At 57.3% G+C, this 20,614-nt stretch overlaps 1 protein-coding gene across 3 annotated transcripts, besides 8 other annotated features; it reads right to left on the reverse strand.

Moving 5' to 3' along the window:
• Positions 1-3,322: 3,322 nt before the first annotated feature.
• On the reverse strand, positions 3,323-11,125 carry PRSS27 (serine protease 27). 3 transcript variants are annotated; one of them, NM_031948.5, is made up of 6 exons: positions 11,016-11,125; positions 7,401-7,427; positions 6,619-6,781; positions 4,966-5,237; positions 4,430-4,599; positions 3,323-3,715 (listed from the first exon to the last, which is right to left on the reverse strand). In NM_031948.5, exons 1-6 carry the CDS (start codon positions 11,059-11,061, stop codon positions 3,521-3,523), a joined length of 873 nt encoding a protein of 290 aa, NP_114154.1. In that variant the 5' UTR covers positions 11,062-11,125; the 3' UTR covers positions 3,323-3,520. The 3 variants fall into 3 exon arrangements, with proteins under 3 accessions (NP_114154.1, NP_001305324.1, XP_011520991.1); NM_001318395.2 differs by lacking the exon at positions 6,619-6,781; XM_011522689.3 differs by lacking the exons at positions 6,619-6,781; positions 7,401-7,427; positions 11,016-11,125 and adding an exon at positions 5,336-5,690.
• Positions 6,462-6,551: a silencer, noted in NCBI's record as "silent region_7066". NCBI's record gives its function as "represses an Ori minimal core promoter by ATAC-STARR-seq in GM12878 lymphoblastoid cells {active_cell/tissue: GM12878}" and the evidence as "EXISTENCE:reporter gene assay evidence [ECO:0000049][PMID:35858748]".
• Positions 6,662-6,711: a silencer, noted in NCBI's record as "silent region_7067". NCBI's record gives its function as "represses an Ori minimal core promoter by ATAC-STARR-seq in GM12878 lymphoblastoid cells {active_cell/tissue: GM12878}" and the evidence as "EXISTENCE:reporter gene assay evidence [ECO:0000049][PMID:35858748]".
• Positions 6,792-6,841: a silencer, noted in NCBI's record as "silent region_7068". NCBI's record gives its function as "represses an Ori minimal core promoter by ATAC-STARR-seq in GM12878 lymphoblastoid cells {active_cell/tissue: GM12878}" and the evidence as "EXISTENCE:reporter gene assay evidence [ECO:0000049][PMID:35858748]".
• Positions 11,395-11,962: an enhancer, noted in NCBI's record as "H3K27ac-H3K4me1 hESC enhancer chr16:2770495-2771062 (GRCh37/hg19 assembly coordinates)". NCBI's record gives its function as "activates a minimal SCP1, AML or CMV promoter by ChIP-STARR-seq in primed H9 embryonic stem cells {active_cell/tissue: H9 hESC(primed)}" and the evidence as "EXISTENCE:reporter gene assay evidence [ECO:0000049][PMID:30033119]".
• Positions 11,395-12,455: a biological region, named in NCBI's record as "H3K27ac-H3K4me1 hESC enhancer GRCh37_chr16:2770495-2771062".
• Positions 11,696-12,455: a silencer, noted in NCBI's record as "silent region_7069". NCBI's record gives its function as "represses an Ori minimal core promoter by ATAC-STARR-seq in GM12878 lymphoblastoid cells {active_cell/tissue: GM12878}" and the evidence as "EXISTENCE:reporter gene assay evidence [ECO:0000049][PMID:35858748]".
• Positions 12,586-12,655: a silencer, noted in NCBI's record as "silent region_7070". NCBI's record gives its function as "represses an Ori minimal core promoter by ATAC-STARR-seq in GM12878 lymphoblastoid cells {active_cell/tissue: GM12878}" and the evidence as "EXISTENCE:reporter gene assay evidence [ECO:0000049][PMID:35858748]".
• Positions 13,339-13,508: a silencer, noted in NCBI's record as "fragment chr16:2772439-2772608 (GRCh37/hg19 assembly coordinates)". NCBI's record gives its function as "represses an EF-1alpha promoter that drives an FKBP-Casp9 reporter gene in an ReSE screen in HepG2 liver carcinoma cells {active_cell/tissue: HepG2}" and the evidence as "EXISTENCE:reporter gene assay evidence [ECO:0000049][PMID:32094911]".

Genomic DNA, 20,614 nt, shown 5'->3' on the forward strand with positions numbered 1-20,614 from the left:
CTGCCCCTCCAAGCCGCCCAGCCCCACTGGCCGCGGCGGCTCACTCAGGGCTCTGCCTCTGCCTCTCAGTCGATGGCCAGGGCGGAGCTGGGCCATCCACGGGGTGCCGGCTTGGCCAGGGTCACTGGATCAGAGCTGCACGGCCCATCCCTGCACCCCACTCTGCCTGGACCCCTCACCTACCTCCAGCAGATAGCATACCCCCATCCCGGGAGACCGGAGACCATGTACAAGGGCCTTTTTTTTTCCTTAAGAGACAGGGGTCTTGCTATGTTGCCCAGGCTGGTCTTGAACTGCTGGGCTCAAGTGATCCTCCTGCCTCAGCCTCCTGAGCAGTTGGGATTACAGGCGTGAGCCATTGCGCGCGGCTCAAGTGATGTTTTTTTGAAAGTCCTGATACCTCAAGTTAGCATCCACCTCTCTTCCCTCACTTTAGCCTGCAGCCTGGGTTGTGACAGCAGGAGCTTCCCGAGAAGGTCCTGGGGTCCCGGCACCCCCTCGCCAGCTGCTGTGACTCCTCCTGGTGGCTGCTCCACGAAGCCTTGGCTGTTGGACTCCCCGCCCCCCCGCAGGGAGATTCCCATTCACGGTGTCCCCCAGGGCCTGGCTGTCTGAGGTCACAGAGCCTCAGGCTGTAGTGGCCTTGTCCATCCTGTTTCCAGGTGTGTGGCTGGCCCAGCCTGACCCCAGGGCCCTGGTGAGGGGTGGAGTGGGTGACTGGGCTTCTGGGTGCCCAGCATGAGGCCGGCACGGGGCTTGGAGTAGGGGAGAGACCCAGTTTCTGCTCCAAGGGGTCTTCCCGCTGCCCGACTCCCACCAGGAGCCTGGCTAGGCCTTACAGCCCCTTGACCAGGTAGAGTTGTGGGCACTTGGGAGAAGCCTCAGCGTGGCAGGCGTCCCCAGCCAAAGCCCGGAGCAGGTTTCCCATCCAAGCAAAAGGCTGTAAAGGAGACAGGCCCTGCAGTTTGGGTCCTGAAGCCGAGGATGCTCAGGGCCGCTGGGTCTGCTGGGCAGGGAGGGAGCCCTGTTCCTCCTCAGACCTTGGGCTCCAGCACAGCCCGCCCGCTGTGGGGACTGGGGCCCAGCCCTGTGGCTCCAGGAAGCCAGCGTGGGGGCAGAAGAGGAGGCAGGGGCGGGGCACATGCAGGTGCCCTGCGTGGGTGCCCGTCCTCCCCAGGCTTCCTGTAGAGCCCATGACTGGAGCCCTCCAGCGGCTGGCACCACCCTCCTTGACATCCCTGCATTTATTGGTGTCCACTCAGCAGGGACTTCTAGCACCCTCCTTCCTCCTAAAGCTCGTGGCAGTGGCCGGCTGGGGCGATGAAGAGCTGACCCCACAGTGCAGCCACCAAGGCCCTGACGTGGCATCTGTGTGAGGGACGATGACTTCCGGCACCTCTGCACTGAGCCGTGCCCCCCAAGATGGGTCACTTTGCCCTCAGACCACCTCTTCCTCCCCAGTGTTCCCAGGCCTGGGGCTCGGCACAGGGAGGCCTGGCCTGTGGCTGACCCCTCACCGCAGTTCTGGCCCGAATGGAGCCCACAGACTTCTTTCCTGGGGCTCCCGCTCCTGCTCTGTGTGTGTGTGTGTGTGTGTGTGTGTGTGTGTGTGTGTGTGTGTACCTACTGGCTGTACATGGTGTGGGTGTGGTGTGTGCCTGTGTGCACATGGTGTGTGTGGCATGCACATGTGTGCTGTATGTGATGTGTGGCATGTGGTGTGTGCTTGGTATGTGGTGTGTGCCTGTGTGTGGCATGTGACATGCATGTGTTGTGTGTGCCTGTGAGTGGCATGGGAATGGTGTGTGTATGTGTGCACATGGGCCAGCTGAGCCTGGGGATGAAGGCTGCCGCCCGCTCTGCCTACCTCCCTGTGAGCCACAGAATGTGCGCGGGCCTGTGCCAGGCTCTCCCTCGAGTCCCTCCTGGAGCTGGCAGGGGCCCTGCTGCCGCCCACCTGGCAGATGGCTCAGAGCCCTGCTTGGCAGCAGCGTGCAAAGTCTGAGCTGCACCCCCGCCCCAGGATGGAAAAGGGACCTGTGGCAACCTGGACTATTCCCTTCCTAACGTCCTTCTCACGGCATGCTTCGTGGGAGCTGTTAATTGCATGAAATAGCCCTGTTTTCCCTTCTCAACCCCTAGTCTCTGTAGAGAGTGTTTTCTGCTCCTCTCCCACGGGCATCTGCCTGTTGACATCCTGGGTCTGGGTGGGGTCTCAGCACAAAGACAGCAGGGGCTGCCCTCCCTAGACCATCTAACCTGTAGCCTCCCCTCTGACCACGGGGGCCTGGGGCTCCTTGCACAGCCCAGAGCAGGGTGCAGGTTCACCCAGGGCTCTCCGAGGCTGGGAGGCCTGGCCAGTCCCTGCTTGGCTAGGACCACCCAGTGCTGCTCCCTGGGCCTGCCTCTCCCTCCACCTGGGCTTCGTGCATCTGCTCCCCCATGGGGCTGTGCGCACAGGCCCCCCAGACCTGCCCACCCACCCCTGGGCTGGAGGAGTGCAAGAAATGGCCCACGGGGGCCACTGGGCAGCCGTTGGGGAGATGGGTCGGGCCCAGCGGGGAATTCCTTCTGTTTTGCTCCCCACGGTGTCCCCAGCAGCTGCTTGCTGAGTGGGTGTTGGTTTGATTCCTTGGTGGACACTCAGGGCCTGATTTCTTCCTGCCGCTGTACAGGCCACGGTGCCTGTGTGTGTGTGCACGGGTGCGTGTGGGTGTGATGTGCATGTCCAGCCTAATCCCCTTGCCACCACGCACTGCTCTGGACTCCTGCATGGGGGTGGAGACTGAGGGATGGGGCGGAGGAAGAGGAGCCAAGGGTCAAGGGGAGACGCCGGGGCACAGGGAGACGAAGGGTGCCAGGAGCAGTGGAGCAGGAAAGCACAGGTGTGGGCACCCACTCCTGCCGAAGTGGTTTAGAAAAGTTGGGTGGCCCCGAGACACGGGCAGCCGGAAGTGCAGGCTTGGGAGGCTGAGGTGCCCCCGCCCAGCCAGTCCCTCCATGCCCTCCTCTCGCCCCGGCACAGCTCCTGCATGGCCCTGAGGCTCTTTCCACCTGTGTCCGTCGCTGTCCCCAGTGCCAACCCTGGGGCGGCCTTTAAGGTGAGAGAACAGAGGCACAGGTGGCAGCAGGTGGCCTCCTGTGCGGGGCCCGTGACAGGGGTCCCATACTCTGGTGCTGTCCTCGCCTCGGGCACCAGCTGCAGCTCCCTTCTGCTGATTCAGAGATGACCAGAGCACTCCGCATCTCCCACCTGGGCTTCATCCTGCAACTCACAGCTCCTCACCCGCCGGGGTCCCCCAAGGATCCCCACGTGGGCAGCTGGCACACAGGCTGGGTTTTTATTGGGAGAAACATAAATAAAATAAGGGTATTTGAGAGGGGAGGAAGGAGCGCTATTTACAAATGAGTCTGGTGGGGCTCACAGGTGCAACAGCAGCGCTGGGAGGACCAGCAGGATGGTGTGGGCGGGCAGGCTGGGTGCAGAGCTCTGCTCAAGGGGCTCCTGGCCCCGGGGGTCTCACTTCTGGCCGCCCAACCTCGCTGGCTGGAACTGCAGTTTGGGGATGATCCGATGGATCCAGTTGTGGTGGGCGGTGACACGGATGTAGACACCTGGGCGGTTCTGGCGGGCACAGCCCTCACCCCAGCTGATCACCCCCGCCTGCAGCCACGACTGACCCACGAGGCACACCAGGGGGCCGCCCGAGTCGCCCTGCGGGGGACGCAGAGTCACCGTCAGAGCCCACCTTGAGTTCCCAGAGACTCAGTTGCAGCCGCACAGGAGGTGTGTAGCTCCGCAATGGATTCCTTCTCTCCATCCCAGAGCCTCTCTGCCCGGCTCCCCATCCCCTGCCAGTCCGATTGTCTAAAGTGCCTATTCTTTAGTGTCCCCAGATCAACTAGGGTGTGTGTGTGTGTTGAAAATGCAGTTTCTTGTGCCCCACCCCAGACCCACTGACTCTGATCCTTCTGGGGTGGGGTCCAGGAATCTGCTTTTTCTTTTTTTTTTTTATTGAGACGGAGTCTTGCTCTGTGGCCCAGGCTGGAGTGCACTGGCGCGATCTCGGCTCACTGCAAGCTCCGCCTCCCAGGTTCGCGCCATTCTCCTGCCTCAGCCTCCCAAGTAGCTGGGACTACAGGCGCCCACCACCACGCCTGGCTAATTTTTTGTATTTTTAGTAGAGATGGGGTTTCACTGTGTTAGCCAGGATGGTCTCCATCTCCTGACCTTGTGATCCACCCTCCTTGGCCTCCCAAAGTGCTGGGATTACAGGCGTGAGCCACCACACCCGGCCCTGGAATCTGCCTTTTCAAAACAAGCTGCTCAGCTGGTTGAATGCATAGCCCATGGAGCGGGGCATGATCCCACCCTGCCCTGGGCCTGGCGGTGGGGACTGAGTCCCCATGGACACCACATTGCTCCCACCTTGCAGGCATCCTTCTTGCCCTCCTCGAAGCCGGCGCACAGCATGTCATTCTTGATGGTTTTGGGTTGGTAGCCAAACTCGGTGTCTTTGCTGTAGAGCAGGTTGCACTTGGGTGTGTCGATGATGGGCACAGCGAGTTTCTGCAGGATCCGCGGTTCGGGCAGGAGGTCTGGAGAGGGGCGGAACAGCCCAGGGCTCAACGGACTTCCTCATCAAGAACCCACGGCCCCGGGAACCACCACTCCATCCTGCCTGTCGTTTCCTCATGTTTAGACCATCTCTGGCTTAGGGCACTGTGGGGCAGACATCCTCCCTCCTTCCAGGCAGCAGGCTGGGCCCTTTCTGTCCCCCTCTCCCTTCACCCCCTCTTCCTTCTGGGTCTGCTGCTGCTCCCCTCGGCCCCACCTGTGTGAACAGAGACCGTGTGTATGTATTAATATAGCAACAGGAAGATTGTGGGTTCAGAGTGGTCCCCAAGCCGTCCTGGGCCTTCTTGAGGCATATCCCCCATTCTTTCCCAGCCCTGTCCCCTTACCTTCCTCACTGGGGCTGCCCCAGCCAGTGACCCAGCAGTTCATGCCCGTCTCAAAGATCACCGAGGGGTCAGGCAGGCACACGGGGAGGATGTAATTGGTGAAGGGCACTGGTGCCTCCAGCTCCACCAGGGCCACGTCAGCGCTGGAGGCCGTGCCCTGGTACAGGGGGTTGCTCTCCACCTGCCTCACCCGGGCATACATAGCGTGTGGTCCCGGCTGCACTAGCTGCCTTGCCCCCAGCAGGACCTGGTACAGGGACGTCTCAGAGGTGCTGGCGGGAGAAACAGAGAGGCGGCGTGAGGCGGCCCCTCGTGTGGGGACAGGCCCGGGAGGGGCTGGGGCTCCTCTGGCCACCACCGTGCCCCACACCTCTCTCTGCACAATGTCTTCGAGAGTCATCTCTAGGACAGCCAGGTGCAGCGGTGATGCGTGTTGACATTGAAGCCAGACCGCCCGACTCAGATTTCCACCTCCACCCCTGGCCGCTGTGTGGCCTTGGGCAAGTCACTTAACAAGTTCTCTGTGATGCAGCTTTCTCACCTGTGCTGTGGGGACAGTCACAGTGCCTACCTGAAAGGCTGGCTCGGAGAGAACCACCCTCCAGGTGCAGCAGGGCCAGCCCCACCTGCGGGCCTCTGGCAGGTGACCTGCCCTCTCTCAGCCCGAGTTTCCGATTTTTTTTTTCCCCTAGAGACAGAGTTCTCATTCTGTCACCCAGGCTGGAGTGCAGCAGTGCAACTGTAGCTCACTGCAGCCTCCAACTCCTGGGCTCAAGCCATCCTCTCGCCTCAGCTTCCTGAGTACTTGGGACCACAGGCACCACTGCACCTGGGGTTTTTTTGTTTGTTTGTTTTTTGTTTTTTAATTTTTTTTTATTTTTAGTAGAGACAGGGTCTTGCTGTGTTGCCCGGGCTGGTCTTGAACTCCTGGGCTCAACTGATCTGCCCGCCTTGGCCTCCCAAAGTGCTGGGATTACGGGTGTGAGCCACCGTGCCTGGCCGTGAGTATCTGAATTTAAGATGTGGGGTTTTTTTTGTCATGATATTCTTTTAAAGATCAAGAAGAAAAAAAAGAAAAAGATGTGGGGTTTAAAATAATTAGAGCTGCGGTGTTGAGGTGTGAGGTGAGGGGGCCTGGGACACCCGGAAGGTGTGGGACCAGGTGGTTCATACATGGCAGAGGGCTGGGTGGCCTGGCCTCTGCTCAGGGCTTTCTGGGGTGGTTCAGGTGGGTGAGGGGAGGAAGGGCCGTTCTGTCTGGTCCTTGGGCTTTGTGAGCAGAGTTCCTCCCGGGAAGAGTGTCCTGGAGCTGAGGTGTGTGCGGGATGGGGAAAGGCCAGGAGGGGCCGGTGGGCAGAGCCTGCCGGGCCGCTTCTGCAGGGACCCACAGGGAGTGGGTGAGTGGGTGGAGGGGATGGAGGGGGTCGGGGGGCGGTGCGAGGCACCTCCCGCGGGCGGGAGCAGCGGTTGCAACTGGAAGTTAGCCCTGGAGTTGGACCTAAGGGAAGCATCTGGGTGGGAGGGGCTGGACCAGGAGCCCCCAGGGAGGTCACCCGCAGGATTTGGCGCGGCGGGCGCTGTCCACGGTGCTGAACCGGTCGCGCGCGGGGCGCTGTCAGCGCTATGGGCGGGGGCAGGGGCGGGCGGACTCACTTGCGGAAGCAGTGCGCAGCCGTCAGGACCCACTGCTCCGCGATGAGGCTGCCCCCGCAGAAGTGGCTTCCGTTGCGCTGGATGCTGACTTGCCAGGGCCACTCGCCCTCCTGCGTGTCCTGCCCGCCCACCATTCGGTTCAGCATCCTGGGGCGACCACAGGCTGGGGGAGCATGGGGAGCGGGTGGGGGCGCTCACTGGGGCTGGTTCCATGGCCGAGGCCCAGCTCTCAGCCTCACACTCCAGTCCTCGGCCCTCCTGCCCCTGACCTGCCCGAAGACCTTGGGGAAGTCGGAGGCCTGGGCTTCGGGGCAGTCTGGGATACAGGCAGACCCTCCCCAGCTGCCCCCCAAAGTCTCACTCTCCTCGCCGAGAAAGGCAACCTAACACCTGCCTCTTGGGGGCCACGGAGGCACTGAGATAACCCAGGGAAGGGTCTTGTCCCAGGGCCTGACCCAAACAGGTGCCTGGAAGGATAGAACAGGTGTCAAGCCCTCTGCAAGGGAGCCACCCAGAGGGGGCCAGTCACGGTTCAGGGTGATCCTCAGACCCTGCCGCCCTCATCCTGCACCGCGCCTCAAGGCTCTGTGCTGCCCGTCCTGCTCTTGTGTGGACCTTCCTCCTCCTCTCCTTTCTGGGCTCCAGTTCCACACAGCCCCCACTTTCCCCTCCTCTGGAATTCCCCAGTGTCCTGTGCGTTCCAAATTCCCTCTGGCCATGAGTGTCCCTGGCTCAGTCCAGCCGGCTCCTGTCCCTCCCACCCCAGGGCCCTGGGTGCTTACCTGTTGCTGCCTTGGCCCTCTGAGACCCTGGAAGTGAGGAGAGGGTGATCAGCCAGGCCAGCTGCAGCCTGGCCTGCCCTCCCCAACCCTGCAGCCCCTCTCCACTGACCCTCCCCAGCTCCTGAGGACTCCAGAGGGACAGTCCACAGAGGGACCTCACCGGAGAGCCCAAGGGCCTGCAGTTTCCCCCCCAGGGCTGGCTCTGCCGTATGCTCAGGCCCAGGCCCATGGGCCACAGCTTATCTGCAAGGGTGGATGCTCCTTGCCACATGGGGAGCCGGTCAGGAGATGCCAGTGAAGGGATCCCCAGGCTAGATGTCCCCTTCTCATCCTGGAAAGGGTCCTCTCCCTCCACACTCCACACCCATCCTTGTCTGGAAGTTTCTGGGGAGGGTCCAGCCTCCAGCCCTGGCACTGTAAGGTTGGCCTTTCCTCCCGGAACAGCTCAGAGCGGAAGAGGCCCGGGAGCTGTCTCTACATTTGAGCTGCCCAGGGCTCTCTCACAGTCTGCTCCGGAATGAGCTCCTTCCCCAAGTCTCACTTTGGTCCCGAGGCTGAGGCCCGAGCCCCACAGGCTTCTCCCTGGCCTCAGGGGAGTAGAGAAGGTACAGTGGTCTGCATTGGCCACCAGGGATCAGCCTTCTCAAGATTCCAGAGTCCCAAGAGCTGACCCCTCTCCCAGGCATGCAGCAGGCTTGGCAGACGAGGCCCAGGACCCCCTGCTGGGCTGTGCAAGGGGGCTTTGGAGCGGATAAAGTGAGGGGCCCGGAAGAGAAGCAAGATATGGGGTCGTTCGGGGGAACCAAGGATGGGAACATATTTTCTGCTGTCCATTGCCTCCCACACCCCAGGACACAAAGGGCCTCTTGCTGGGCCTTTAACCAAACACTGGAGCCTCTACCCCAGCTTGGAGACCCCAGCCAGGACCATAGTGTACAGCCCCAGGGTAGCAAAGCCTGGAACTTCCTGGCCTTGAGAGAGTCCTCTCACCACCCCTGCACTCCACGCGTCTGATTCTGTGGGGGCAAGATTCGCCCGTAGCTGGGGAGGGGTTAGAACAGCCACCTCCCCACACCTAGGCCCTCAGCTTCCCCTTAACCCCCAGTGCCTTCCGGTGCCCGGGCCAGCTGCTATGGACCATGTCTTCACTCTGCCCGGAAAAGATAACCAGTCCCCTGGAGTTGAGGGGCTGTGGGGACAGGAAGTGGCCATGGAGGGCCCAAGCACCCCCAGGGTTTTTACGGCATCCTCTTCCTTTCTGTCTGCCTCACAGTCTGGGGGGCACCCTCCCCAACACCACTGGTGGGCAGAGACACCCCGGGGGTTGCTGGACGATAAGGCAGCGGGCGGCGAGGGGGCAGCTGTGGATGGGCAGGAGGAGGAGGTGGAGAAGGTGCAGGGCAGGCAAAGGGGTGCCCTGCAGAAGCGGGGTCAGGGGCAACGGGAAATGGAGAGTCTGCCCTGGATGCTCTGCTCATTAATTTGTGCTAATTAAGTGCCCTTTAAAATGCAAACACTACCGGGAGGGTTATTCCCTGGCCCCCCGACCCCTTGCTCCTTCCAAGCCTGAGGATCCTGCTTGCAGAAGGGCGCGCACTGTCAGGCCTTCTCGCTCTCTGGGAGTCTGCAGGAGCTGTGTCTCCATGCTCCCTGCCTGAGCACTGCCCCTTCAGCGATGCCTCCTCCCCATGCAGATCCTTCCTTCCTAAAGTAGCCCTGTACTTCTCATTTAGGCAGAGTCTTCTGGTCTCTGAGTGCTTGCTCCCCTCACCCCACAATCTGGATGCCCTTCCCCCAGTCTCCATAAGTCCTAGTCTTTTTTTTTTTTTTTTTTTTAAGATGGAGTCTCACTCTGTTGCCCAGCCTGGAGTGCAGTGGCGCGATCTCAGCTCACTGCAAGCTCCGCCTCCTGGGTTCACGCCATTCTCCTGCCTCAGCCTCCCGAGTAGCTGGGACTACAGGGGCCCGCCACCAAGCCCGGCTAATTTTTTTGTATTTTTAGTAGAGAGGGGTTTCACCATGTTTGCCAGGATAGTCTCGATCTCCTGGCCCCGTGATCCGCCCACCTCGGCCTCCCAAAGTGCTGGCATTACAGGCGTGAGCCACCGCTCCCAGCCAAGTCCTAATCGTGATCTAGAGATCAAGGCCCAACTGAATGCTGCCTCCTCCAGGAAGCCTTCCTTGCTTGCTTGCATTGTCTACCTTGGAAGCCCTATACTCTCTCTTGAGCTCTCTGTCCTGATGGGAGCTCTGTCTACATCACCCTGGAGCCAGAATCAAGTCTTATCTTAGCCCAGGAGCTCCGAGAAGGCAAGGGCTGCATCTGGGGGGCCTGATCTCAGGGAATGTGTGGATGGACACAAGTGTGGCTGTGGGGGCTGATGGGAAATGGGGGATGTGGACAGCTGAGCCCTTCAGGGTGGGCGCCCTGTGGGGGCTGGAAGCAACAGCCAGGGGTGCCGGGGGTGTCAGGAGCATTGTTTGGGGCCTGGGCCTGTGATTCGCTGGTAGCTGGTGGGGATGGTGAAGCTTAGTGGGTACCACCAGCCAGAGACCTGGTGGGAGTGCCACCCTCGGGCTGGGAGTGAGGACGTGTCCAGGAGTCCAGCCTCTGGTCACAGCTGTTAGTGAACCGACTGCAAAACTCATTGCCAAAGAGTTTTGGCAATGACCTTGGTTCCTCACCCCGCTCAGGGGCAGTCACAGCCTTCCACCTCCTGTGCACATGGCTTGCTCAGAGGGCACCATCCTTGTGCTGGGAGACTGGGGGCATGGGGTGGGGGAGGCCGGGCCACTGAGGGGCCACTGGTGCCCTCCCACCCAGGAGAACAAGGAAGCCTGGAGTACTGGCTAAGCTGCAGCCTGGGATGACCTGACCCAGCCCTGGGAGGTGACTTGAGGACAGGGAAGTGTGGTGGCTGCCAGACTGGCTAGGCTAGCCCAGGAATGTGAGAGGTTTTCCCTGACAGAGAGTGTCCCGGCCCGCAGGGAGGGGCCTGGCAGGTGGGGCCCCCTGGCTGGCACCTGCTGTCCCTGACCCAGGACTGGGAGAGGGCACGGTGGCGCATCACCGGTTCCTCTGTCAGCAGGAGACAGGGCCCTCTGCCACCTACACCCCCTGCCCCCAGCTCTCTACTGAGCCTGCAGCCAGCCTGCTGGGGCTTCCGGGCACAGGCAGCAGCCCTCGGCTCGGCCACCCTCCCACCCCGAGTATGATGGTCCAGGCACTTGGAGCCTGAGTTCACATCCTGCACGTAGGAGGCCCCTGTCCTCACCTAGAGAATGGGGGGAGAGGCCGAGGTGGCAGGAAGCAGGGAGCCTGGCCAGAGCTGGCACACCAGTGCCCGCGGAGAGGCATGGGAGGAGGTGCTGCCCAGTTATGCCGGTGGGGTCCTCTGGGGCCTGTGCGCACACCTCCCACCCTGCCTCCCCACTTTGGACTCCCCACTTGGCACATCTGGAGCCTTCCCACCTGCTCAGGGGCAGGAGGGATGATGGCCTGTCCCACAGCCCCAGCCTGTCCCAGGGAGTAGGGGGCTGAGCCGGAGCCCCAGGCAGTGCAGCGGAGCCTGGTGGGGGACTGCACCACCAGGACCCTGCACCTTCACGACTCACCAAAACACAGCAGCAGCAGGAGCGGCACCGCCGCCGGCCGCCTCATGTCCTCAGGCCTGGCTGGGGCGCAGGGCCGTGGTCGGCGGTGGCAGAAGCGTTGGAGCACGAGCGAGGTGCAGGCTCCATGAAGTGGAGTTTTATGCTGGAGATGAGCACAGGCCCGGCTATGCGGCCCAACCCGTCGGCCCGGCCTGCCCAGCTCCTCTCCTCAGGAAGGAAGCGCCCAGAGCCGACTCCTCCGTGACCTAGCCCTGAACCCCGAGACCCCAGGGCAGACCCCTCACCCCAGCGCAGCACGGGGTGCCGTTGGCCTCGGTTCCTGGACCCTGAGCTGACCCAGACCCCCCAGCAGACCCCGAGCTGACCGCGGTGCACGCGAAGTCCGTCCAGCTTCATTCATTATTATTATTATTATTTTTTTTAATTTTTTGAGACAGAGTCTCGCTCTGTCGCCCAGGCTGGAGCGCAATCTCGGCTCACTGCAAGCTCCGTCTCCCAGGTTCAAGCCATTCTCCTGCCTCAGCCTCCTGAGTAGCTGGGATTACAGGCAGGTGCCACCACGCCCGGCTAATTTTTTGTATTTTTAGTAGAGACGGGGTTTAACCGTGTTGGCCAGGCTAGTCTCGATCTCCTGACCTCGTGATCCGCCCTCCTCGGCCTCCCAAAGCGCTGGGATTACAGGGGTGAGCCACCGCGCCCGGCCTCATTCAGTATTTTATTGAGCGCCGATGGAACACAGTGGGGCTGGGCCGCGCTGGTGGGAAAGTCAAGGCCAGGGGTGTTTGCGGGGCCGAGGGCAGGGGAGGCGATGGGACATGGGGCGGGGTCCGGAGTTGGCCGCAGCGACCCTCCTCCCGGGACAGCAGGCCCCAGAAGTTCCTCAGGCGCGCGCCAGCGCGGCCCAGGCGGCCGACCCGGGCCCCGGCTGCCATCCCTTGGAAGGGGCGGGGGCTTCCTGGCACCAGGCGGGGCGGAAGCGGCTCCGGGAAGGCCGGGCCGGGGTTACCGTTTCGGTGTCCCCGCCTGGCTCTGGGCGCGGCGCCGCGGCGGAAGAGGCTCGGGGAGGAAGTTATTTGGGGCACGGCGCTGACGTCAGAGACAGAGTGGGGCCGGGCCGTGGGGTCGGGGGCGCCGGACCTGTTTCCCCGCCGGCGCCGGGGGTCGGTACTCGCGGGCGGGGCGGGGCCGGGCGGCTCCGGGCGGGGCTGGGGGTGCGGCCGTTCCCGCCTCAGCCTTGTCCGCGCGCGTCGTGGTGCTGCCCTCTGGTGGGCGCGGGGCGCGGCGCGGGCGGCCAGGGGTGCAGAAGGGGCGCTCCCAGCCTCATGGTCCGGGCTCCGGCTCCCCGCATCGCCCTCCCTAGCCCCGCCCTCCCGCGTCTCCGCCTCCGCCTCCACCGCCTCCTCCCACCCTTCCCTCCCCGTCCAGTCCCTGGAGTTCCCGGGTCGGGGGTGGGAGGCGGGCTGGGCAGCCCCTGGGGGTCTGGAGGGAAGGAGGGAGGGCGAGGAGTGGGAAGAGGGGACTCCAAACGTATTCATTCATGTATTGATTTATTCATTCAGTCAGTCAGTCATTTCTGAGCAGATTTGAGCCCAATACTGTCCCCGGTTTGGGGAATACAAAGGTGACCCAAACAGACCTCACCTCAGTGTGAGAGAGAGAACATCATTTAGCAGAGAAATCTCTAATTATAAACCGCGACGGGCTGGGTGCAGTGGCTCACACCGGGAATCCCAGCACTTTGGGAGGCCAAGGCAGGCAGATCACCTGAGGTCAGGAGTTCGAGACCAGCATGGCCAACATGGTGAAACCCCGTCTCTACTAAAATACAAAATTAGCCGGGCTTGGTGGCGGGCACCTGTGATCCTAGCTACTCAGGAGGCTGAGGCAGGAGAATCACTTGAACTCGGGAGGCGGAGATGGCAATGACACGAGATTGCAACACTGCACTCCAGCCTGGGAGACAGTGAGACCCTGTCTCAAAAAAAAAAAAAAAAAAAGGAGAATAATAATTATCAACCACGGAAAGTGTTTCAAAGTGTCTGGGTGACCACATTTCTCCAGCACCCTATGGTCAGGTCACTGATGGGATCTCAGAGGCAGTCTTAGAGCCTCGCAGGTAACTATTTCCTCTTGGCACCTTTCTGTGTGTTCCTTGGTGTCTGCTCCCCAACCCTCCTTTTAAGCCCATTCCTCTAAGGGTGTCTCTGCCTTAAAATCAAGAAAGTGACAAAAGTCAAGATGCAGATCAGGGCCAGGTGCAGTGGCTCACGCCTGTAATCCCAGCACTTTGGGAGGCCGAGGCAGGCGGATCACGAGGTCAGGAGATCAAGACCGTCCTGGCTAACACGGTAAAATCCTGTCTCTACTAAAAATACAAAAAATTAGCTGGGCGCGGTGGTGGGCGCCTGTAGACCCAGCTACTCTGGAGGCTGAGGCAGGAGAATGGCCTGAACCCGGGAGGCGGAGCTTGCGGTGAGCCAAGATCTCGCCACTGCACTCCAGCCTGGGTGACAGAGCGAGACTCTGTCTCAAAAAAAAAAAAAAAAAAAAAAAAGATGCAGATCAGAAAGCGAGGACGCCAGGGAAACTTGGGCTCCTGAAGAACAAGGCACAGCCACGCCAGCGATTAGAGGATCGGGAACCCAGACCTCGCCTCCATGTCCCTGTACCTGGAGCCCACGGACCCAGGGCTGAGAATGGGCCCCTTCCTCATACCACCCACCAAACAAATGAAGAGGGCATTACAATCCAGAAAGATTTTTATGTTTTGTTTTGTTTTGTTTTGTTTTGTTTTGTTTTTTGAGACACAGTCTCGCTCTGTTTCCCAGGCTGGAGTGCAGTGGCACGATCTCGGCTCGCTGCAACCTCTGCCTTCCAGGTTCAAGCGATTCTCCTGCCTCAGCCCCGCTAGTAGCTGGGATTACAGGCCTGTGCCACCATGCCCAGCTAATTTTTGTATTTTTAGTAGAGATGGAGTTTCGCCATGTTGGCCAGGCTAGTCTCGAACTCCTGACCTCAGGTGATCCACCCGCCTCGGCCTCCCAAAGTGCTGGGATTACAGGCATGAGCCACCATGCCCGGCCATGTTTTTAAAATAATCAGTCCCTCCCTTCAAAAATAGAATTGGGGCGGGGTGCCATGGCTCATGCCTGTGAGTCAGAGGTTGTAGTGAGCCGAGATCGCGCCACTGCACTTCAGCCTGGTGGCAGAGCGAGACTCTGTCTCAAAAAAAAAAATTGAATTGGACATTTATCAACTCTCTGGAAGGGGGACAGTTTTCTAAGGTTAGAAGTCATGGCTGGGCATGGTGAAAGGAAGAGGGAAGGGTGCTGGTCAGTAAGCAGCAATAGCCACACACTCTCAGTCAGGTGTGAAAGTGAAATACAGACATTTTTGGCCAGGTGTGGTGGCTCACACCTCTAATCCCAGCACTTTGGGAGGCCGAGGCAGGCAATCACTCGAGTCCAGGAGTTCAAGACCAGCCTGGCCATTGTGGTGAAACCCCGTCTCTACTAAAAATACAAAAATTAGCCAGGCATGGTGGCACACATCTGTAATCCCAGCTACTGGGGAGGCTGACGCAGGAGAATCACTTGAACCTGGGAGGCAGAGATTGCAGTGAGTTGAGGTTGCATCATTGCACTACAGCTTGGGCGACACAGCAAGACTCTTTTTTTTTCTTTGAGACAGAGTTTCACTCTATCGCCTCCCAGGCTGGACTGCAGTGGTGTGATCTCCGCTCACTGCAACCTTCGCCTCCTGTGTTCAAGCGATTCTCCTGTCTCAGCCTTCTGAGTAGCTGGGATTACAGGCAGGCACAGCCATGCCCAGGTAACTTCTTTTTCTTTTTCTTTCTTTTTTTATTTTTTATTTTTTGTATTTCAGTAGAGATGGGGTTTCGCCATGTTGGCCAGGCTGGTCTCAAACTCCTGACCTCCTGATCTCTCCACCTCGGCCTCCCAAAGTGCTGGGATTATAGGCGTGAGCCACCGTGGCAGCCCTGACTCTAAAAAATAAAAAATAATAAATAAATAAATAAATAAAACCAGACATTTTCATGCTTGAAAGTTCTCAGAACATTTGGCCAGGCATGGTGGCTCATGACTGTAATTGAAACACTTTGGGAGACTGAGACAGAAGGAATCCTTGAGTTCAGGAGTTGGAGACCAGCCTGGGCAACACAGTGAGACCCCATCTCTACAAAAGAGAAAAAAATGTACTCCCTATGCGTGATTGTTGGAAAACCACCAGAGGAAAGATGCTCTTCAGCTAAAAGAGTAAAAAATCAAGAAAGCACAAGCTGTGGTCTGTGAAATGCAGACGTGGAACATGGCGGAGTACTGAAGGAAAGCTTGAGGCTGATGGTGAGGGACATTCTGGAAGGATAACTGTGCGCCAAGTCTAGAGGGCAGTCAGTGCTCATTGTGACACTGTGACTCAAGAGATAGGAAAGCTGGGACTGTCGTGATTGTGCTGTCATTGCACTAGCTCTTTAACCTGGCCAGATTACTGGAAGATGTGTTTCACCTAAACAAGGTGTAAACTGAGGAGGAGGAAGACAAGAGATCCAGGATGTGGGGAATCCAAATCAGGAGAAACCCAAGAGGGATTACAAGGATGACAGCTGGGGGATGTCCCAGTGATGGCAGCAGTGGCCCGTCTGGAGTGGTCGCTGTGAAGACACCAGCTGCAGTGGGGGAAGCATGGCCGGGTCTGTGCCCTTCATGGACCTGGAGGGGCTGGGAACAGACGGGAGCCCTGCCCCTTCTGAGTTGGCAGGGTGGGGAGCCCTGCCTTCCCAGGCACATCAGCAGCCACCCAGCTGTAGCTGCAGACCGGGGCATCCCTGTGCTCTCGGGGGGCCTGGAAGGCCCCCGGCCCCCACAGGCTCAAAGCGCCTGCTCCTGCTGCCTGGCTTCTCCCTGTTTCCAGCGCCCACTCCAATTTCAGAGCAAAGTTGAGGTCGAGACCAGGTGCTGTTGGAACCTGGCTGGGTGTGCCCGTGTTGGGGCAGTGCTGACGTGCCAGTCCCCTGCCACACTGGCCATCTCCGGACTTTGGGCGCTGATGAGCATGGGAGGGAGGCTGAGGGGGTGCTGAGGGCAGTCTCGAACTCCTGACCTCAGGTGATCTGCCTGCCTCGGCCTCCTAGCCCTGTCTGTGTTCCTTTATTTATGTTCTAGGAAAGAACGTATTTCCTGATCATTCGGGTTGTTGGCAGAATTCAGCTCCTTGTGTTTTAGGGCTGAGGTCCTGGCTTTCTCATTGGCTGTCAGCTGAGGGCTGTTCCCAGCTTGTATGTGCCACTGTATTCCTTGGCTGTGGCCCCTTCCTCCATCTGCAGAGCCAGCAATGGTGGGCTGGATTCTCACTTTGCATCTCTCTGACTCTTCATCTATCATCACATTTCTCCTTAATCACAGCTGGGAAAGGTTTTCTGCTAAAAGCCAACTCCTATGATTCGATCAGGCCCACTGGGATGGGCTGGGATAATTTCTCCACCTCAACGTTATTAACTTAATCACACCTGTAAAATCTCTTTTTGCCATGTAAGGTCATGTACTCACTGATCTGGGGATTAGGACATAGACATCTAGTGGGGCTGTTACTCCACCTGCCACGCTGGGCTTCTTCCATGCCAACTCCAATGACAATTTTATTATGATATTATTGGAGTATTGGCATACATATTTAGAATACTCAAGATATTCTCTGTGCCAATATTCTGTCACTTCTTAGTGTATTCTTTTTTCTTTTCTTTTTTTTTGAGATGGAGTCTCACTCTGTCTCCCAGGCTGGAGTGCAGTGGTTCGATCTCGGCTCACTGCAACCTCTGCCTCTGGGGTTCAAACGATTCTCCAGCCTCGGCCTCCCAAGTACCTGGGATTACAGGCATCTGCCGCCAAGCCAGACTGATTTTTTAATATTTTTAGTAGAGATGGGGTTTCTCCATGTTGGTCAGGCTGGTCTAGAACTCCCGACCTCAGGTGATCCGCCCACCTCGGCCTCCCAAAGTGTTGGGATTACAGGTGTGAGCCACTGCTCCTGGCCTGTTTCCACCTTTTGGCTATTGTGAATAATGATGCTTGAACTTGGGTGTACAAGTATCTCTTTGAGACACTGCTTTCAGTTCTTTTGTGAATATACCCACAAGTGGAATTGCTGGAGCAAATGGTAATTCTACATTTAATTTTTTGAGGAATAGGCAAAATGTTTCCCAAATTTTTAAGAGAAAATTAATGACTAAATATTGAAGATAATCCAACTTCTAAAAATACCCTTAATTATTATTATTATTATTATTATTGTTTTTGGAGACACAGTCTTGCTCTCTCACTCAGGCTGGAGTGCAGTGGTGTGATCTCGGCTCACTCCAGTCTCTGCCTCCCAGGGTCAAACAATTCTCCTGCCTCAGCCTCCTGAGTACCTGGGATTACAGGCGCCCACCACCACACCTGGCTAGTTTTTGTATTTTTAGTAGAGACAAGGTGTCACCATATTTCCCAGGCTGGTCTCAAACTCCTGACCTCATGTGCTCCGCCTGCACTGGCCTCCCAAAGTGCTGAGATTACAGGCATGAGCCACCGCACCTGGCCGGTGGTCCTTAGTTAATAATATTAAAGTCCATTCTGAAGAAAATGCCATTTTGATTGTTATGCAAGCAATCAAGTAAGTCTTACTGATTTCATGCCATTGATATTTAATCTAGCGTCTGAAGGAGAAAAAGTGCTCCTACAAATAAAACAAATTGGCTGGGTGTGGTGGCTCACACCTGTAATCCCAGTACTTTGGGAAGCTGAGGTGGGAGAATCACTTGATCTCAGGAGTTTGAGACCAGCCTGGGCAACATAGCAAGACCCCATCTCTATAAACAATAAATTTAAAAAAGTTAGCCGATTGTGTGGCATGCACCTGTTGTCCCAGCTAGCTGCCGACCAGGGCATCCCTGTGCAGCCTCCCAGTGTTAGGAGGCTGACATGGAAGGATGGCTTGAGCTCACGAGTTACAAACCAGCTTGAGTAATATAGGGTGACTCCATCTGTAAACAAACAAACAAACCTCCTACTAACTGAACAGACAAAACTGTCTCACCCACTCTGTGTTGCTCTACATCTGCTTCAGGATGAAATCCATATTCAAAACAAGCAGAACAAGGCCGGGCGTGATGGCTCACCCCTGTAATCCCAGCATTTTGGGAGGTTGAGGTGGGCGGATCACCTGAGGCCAGGAGTTTAAGACCAGCCTGGCCAACATGGTGAAACCCCACCTCTACCAAAAATATAAAAATCAGCCGGGCATGGTGGCACGTGCCTATAGTCCCAGTTACTGAGGCAGGAGAATCGCTTGAACCCCGGAGGCGGAGGTTGCAGTGAGCTGAGATCTTGCCATTGCACTCCAGCCTAGGTGGCAAGAGCAAAAACTCTGTCTCAAAAGAAAAAAAAAAAAAAAGCCAGCACGGTGGCTCACCCCTGTAATCCCAGCACTTTGGGAGGCCGAGGTCAGCTGATCACCTGAGGTCAGGAGTTTGAGACCAGCCTGGCCAACATGGCAAAACCCAGTCTCTACTAAAAACACATAAAAAATTAGCTGGGCATAGTGGCAGGTGCCTGTAATCCCAGCTACTCGGGAGCCTGAGGCACGATAATTGCTTGAACCTGGGAGGCAGAGGTTGCTGTGAGCCAATATTGTGCCATTGCACTGCAGCCTGGGCAAGAGGAGCGAAATTCCATCTCAACAAATAAACAAACAAAAAAACAAAACAAGCAGAACAAACGATAACCCAAATGACAAGGGAAAATGAGTTCAGGTCGGGCGCAGTGGCTGACGCCTGTAATCACAACACTTTGGGAGGCTGAGCCGTGGGGATCACCTGAGGTCAGGAGTTTGAGACCAGCCTGGGCAACATAGTGAAACCCTGTCTCTACTAAAAATACAAAAATTAGCTGGACGTGGTAGCGGGCACTTGTAATCTCAGCTACTCGGGAGGCTGAGGTGGGAGAATCACTTCAATCTGGGAGGCAGAGCTTGCAGTGAGCTGAAATTGCGCCACTGCACTCTAGCCTGGGCGACAGAGCGAAACTATGTCTCAAAAAAAAAAAAAAAAAAAGTTCAAACATCACAGAGATATTGATAGGAAAAATTTCACCCAAGACATTCAATGAGTCAGCTGACCTCACCACATCTGTAATTGTCATATTCCCCCAAAACGTGTCAAGGGAAGTCAGGACTTCAACACCCACTTCAGGAACCATTTTTATTTTATTTCATTTTATTTTAATTTATTTTTTGAGACAGGGCCTCACTCTGCTGCTCAGGCTGGAGTGTAGTGGTGTGATCTCGGCTCACTGCAGCCCCAACCTCCTCAAACTCAGGGGATCCTCCCACCCCAGCCTCCCCCGTAGCTTGGACTACAGGCACTCACCACCATGCCCAGCTAATTTTTGTATTTTTTGTAGAGATGGGGTTTCACTATGTTTTCCAGGCTGGTCTCGAACTCCTGAGCTCAAGTGATACACCCATCTCGGCCTCCCAAAATGCTGGGATTACAGGCATGAGCCACCGTGCCTGGCCAAATTTTAAAAATTTATTAAAAATAAATTTATTTTTCTTTATTTTACTTATTTATTTATATTTATTTATTTTTTGAGTGAGAGTCTTGCTCTGTCACCCAGGCTAGAGAGCAGTGGCAAGATCTCAGCTCACTGCAACCTCCGCCTCCCGGTTTCAAGTAATTCTCCTGCCTCAGCTTCCGGAGTAGCTGGGATTACAGGCGCCCACCACCACGTCCTGCTAATTTTTGTATTTTTAGTAGAGATGGGGTTGCACCATGTTGCTCAGTCTGGTCTCAAACTGCTGACCTTGTGATCCGCCCCCCTCGGCCTCCCAAAGTGCTGGGATTACAAGCGTGAGCCACCGCACCCGGCCTATTTTTCTTTAAGAATTTGTGCCTGACTCTGACTCAAATGAGAGAGAAAACAGTCAATTTATCGATTTTTAAAAGCCACTTGGAAAATTAAAGCTAACCAGTCTAATCCCTGACACTTATTTCTCCATGTGAGACGCAGGCTGACTGAAAGATTGTCCTGCCTGTTTCTCACGGGGCCTGTGATGGGTCTCAAGCGGTTCTGCTCTTCCCCATTGTCTGCTGTTCTGTGTTGCCACAGAGCCTTTACTCCAGGCTGACATCCAGCTCAGCACAAGCATCAGAAAGGAGGCTAGGCCAGGCGCAGTGGCTCACACCTGGAATCCCAGCTCTTCGGGAGGCCGAGGCAGGCAGATCTCTTGAGGCCAGAAGTTCAAGACCAACCTGGCCAACACGGCAAAACCCCGTTTCTACTAAAAATGCAAAACTTAGCTGGGCGTGGTGGCAGGTACCTGTAGTCCCAGCTATTCAGAAGGCCCAGGTGGGAGAATCAAATGAACCCGGGAGGCAGAGGTTGCAATGAGTCAAGATCATGCCACTGCACTCTAGCCTGGGCAACAGAGCAAGACTTCTATCTTAAACAAACAAACAAACAAACAACAACAACAATAACAAACAACAACAACAACAAAAACCAACCTGGGAAAGCAATGTTAATACTGAACATAGGCTGGGC

This window comes from Homo sapiens, chromosome 16 (assembly GCF_000001405.40).
Source record: "Homo sapiens chromosome 16, GRCh38.p14 Primary Assembly".
Classification (NCBI taxonomy): domain Eukaryota; kingdom Metazoa; phylum Chordata; class Mammalia; order Primates; family Hominidae; genus Homo; species Homo sapiens.

Coding starts and splice junctions, on each gene's coding strand:
- PRSS27 (NM_031948.5), bottom strand. CDS start 11,061: ATGAGGCGGCCGGCGGCGGTGCCGCTCCTGCTGCTGCTGTGTTTTG. Junction 6,782..7,400: donor GAGGGCCAAGGCAGCAACAG/GTAAGCACCCAG, acceptor ATGCTCCCCCAG/CCTGTGGTCGCCCCAGGATG. Junction 3,716..4,429: donor GCAAGAAGGATGCCTGCAAG/GTGGGAGCAATG, acceptor CGTCCCCCGCAG/GGCGACTCGGGCGGCCCCCT.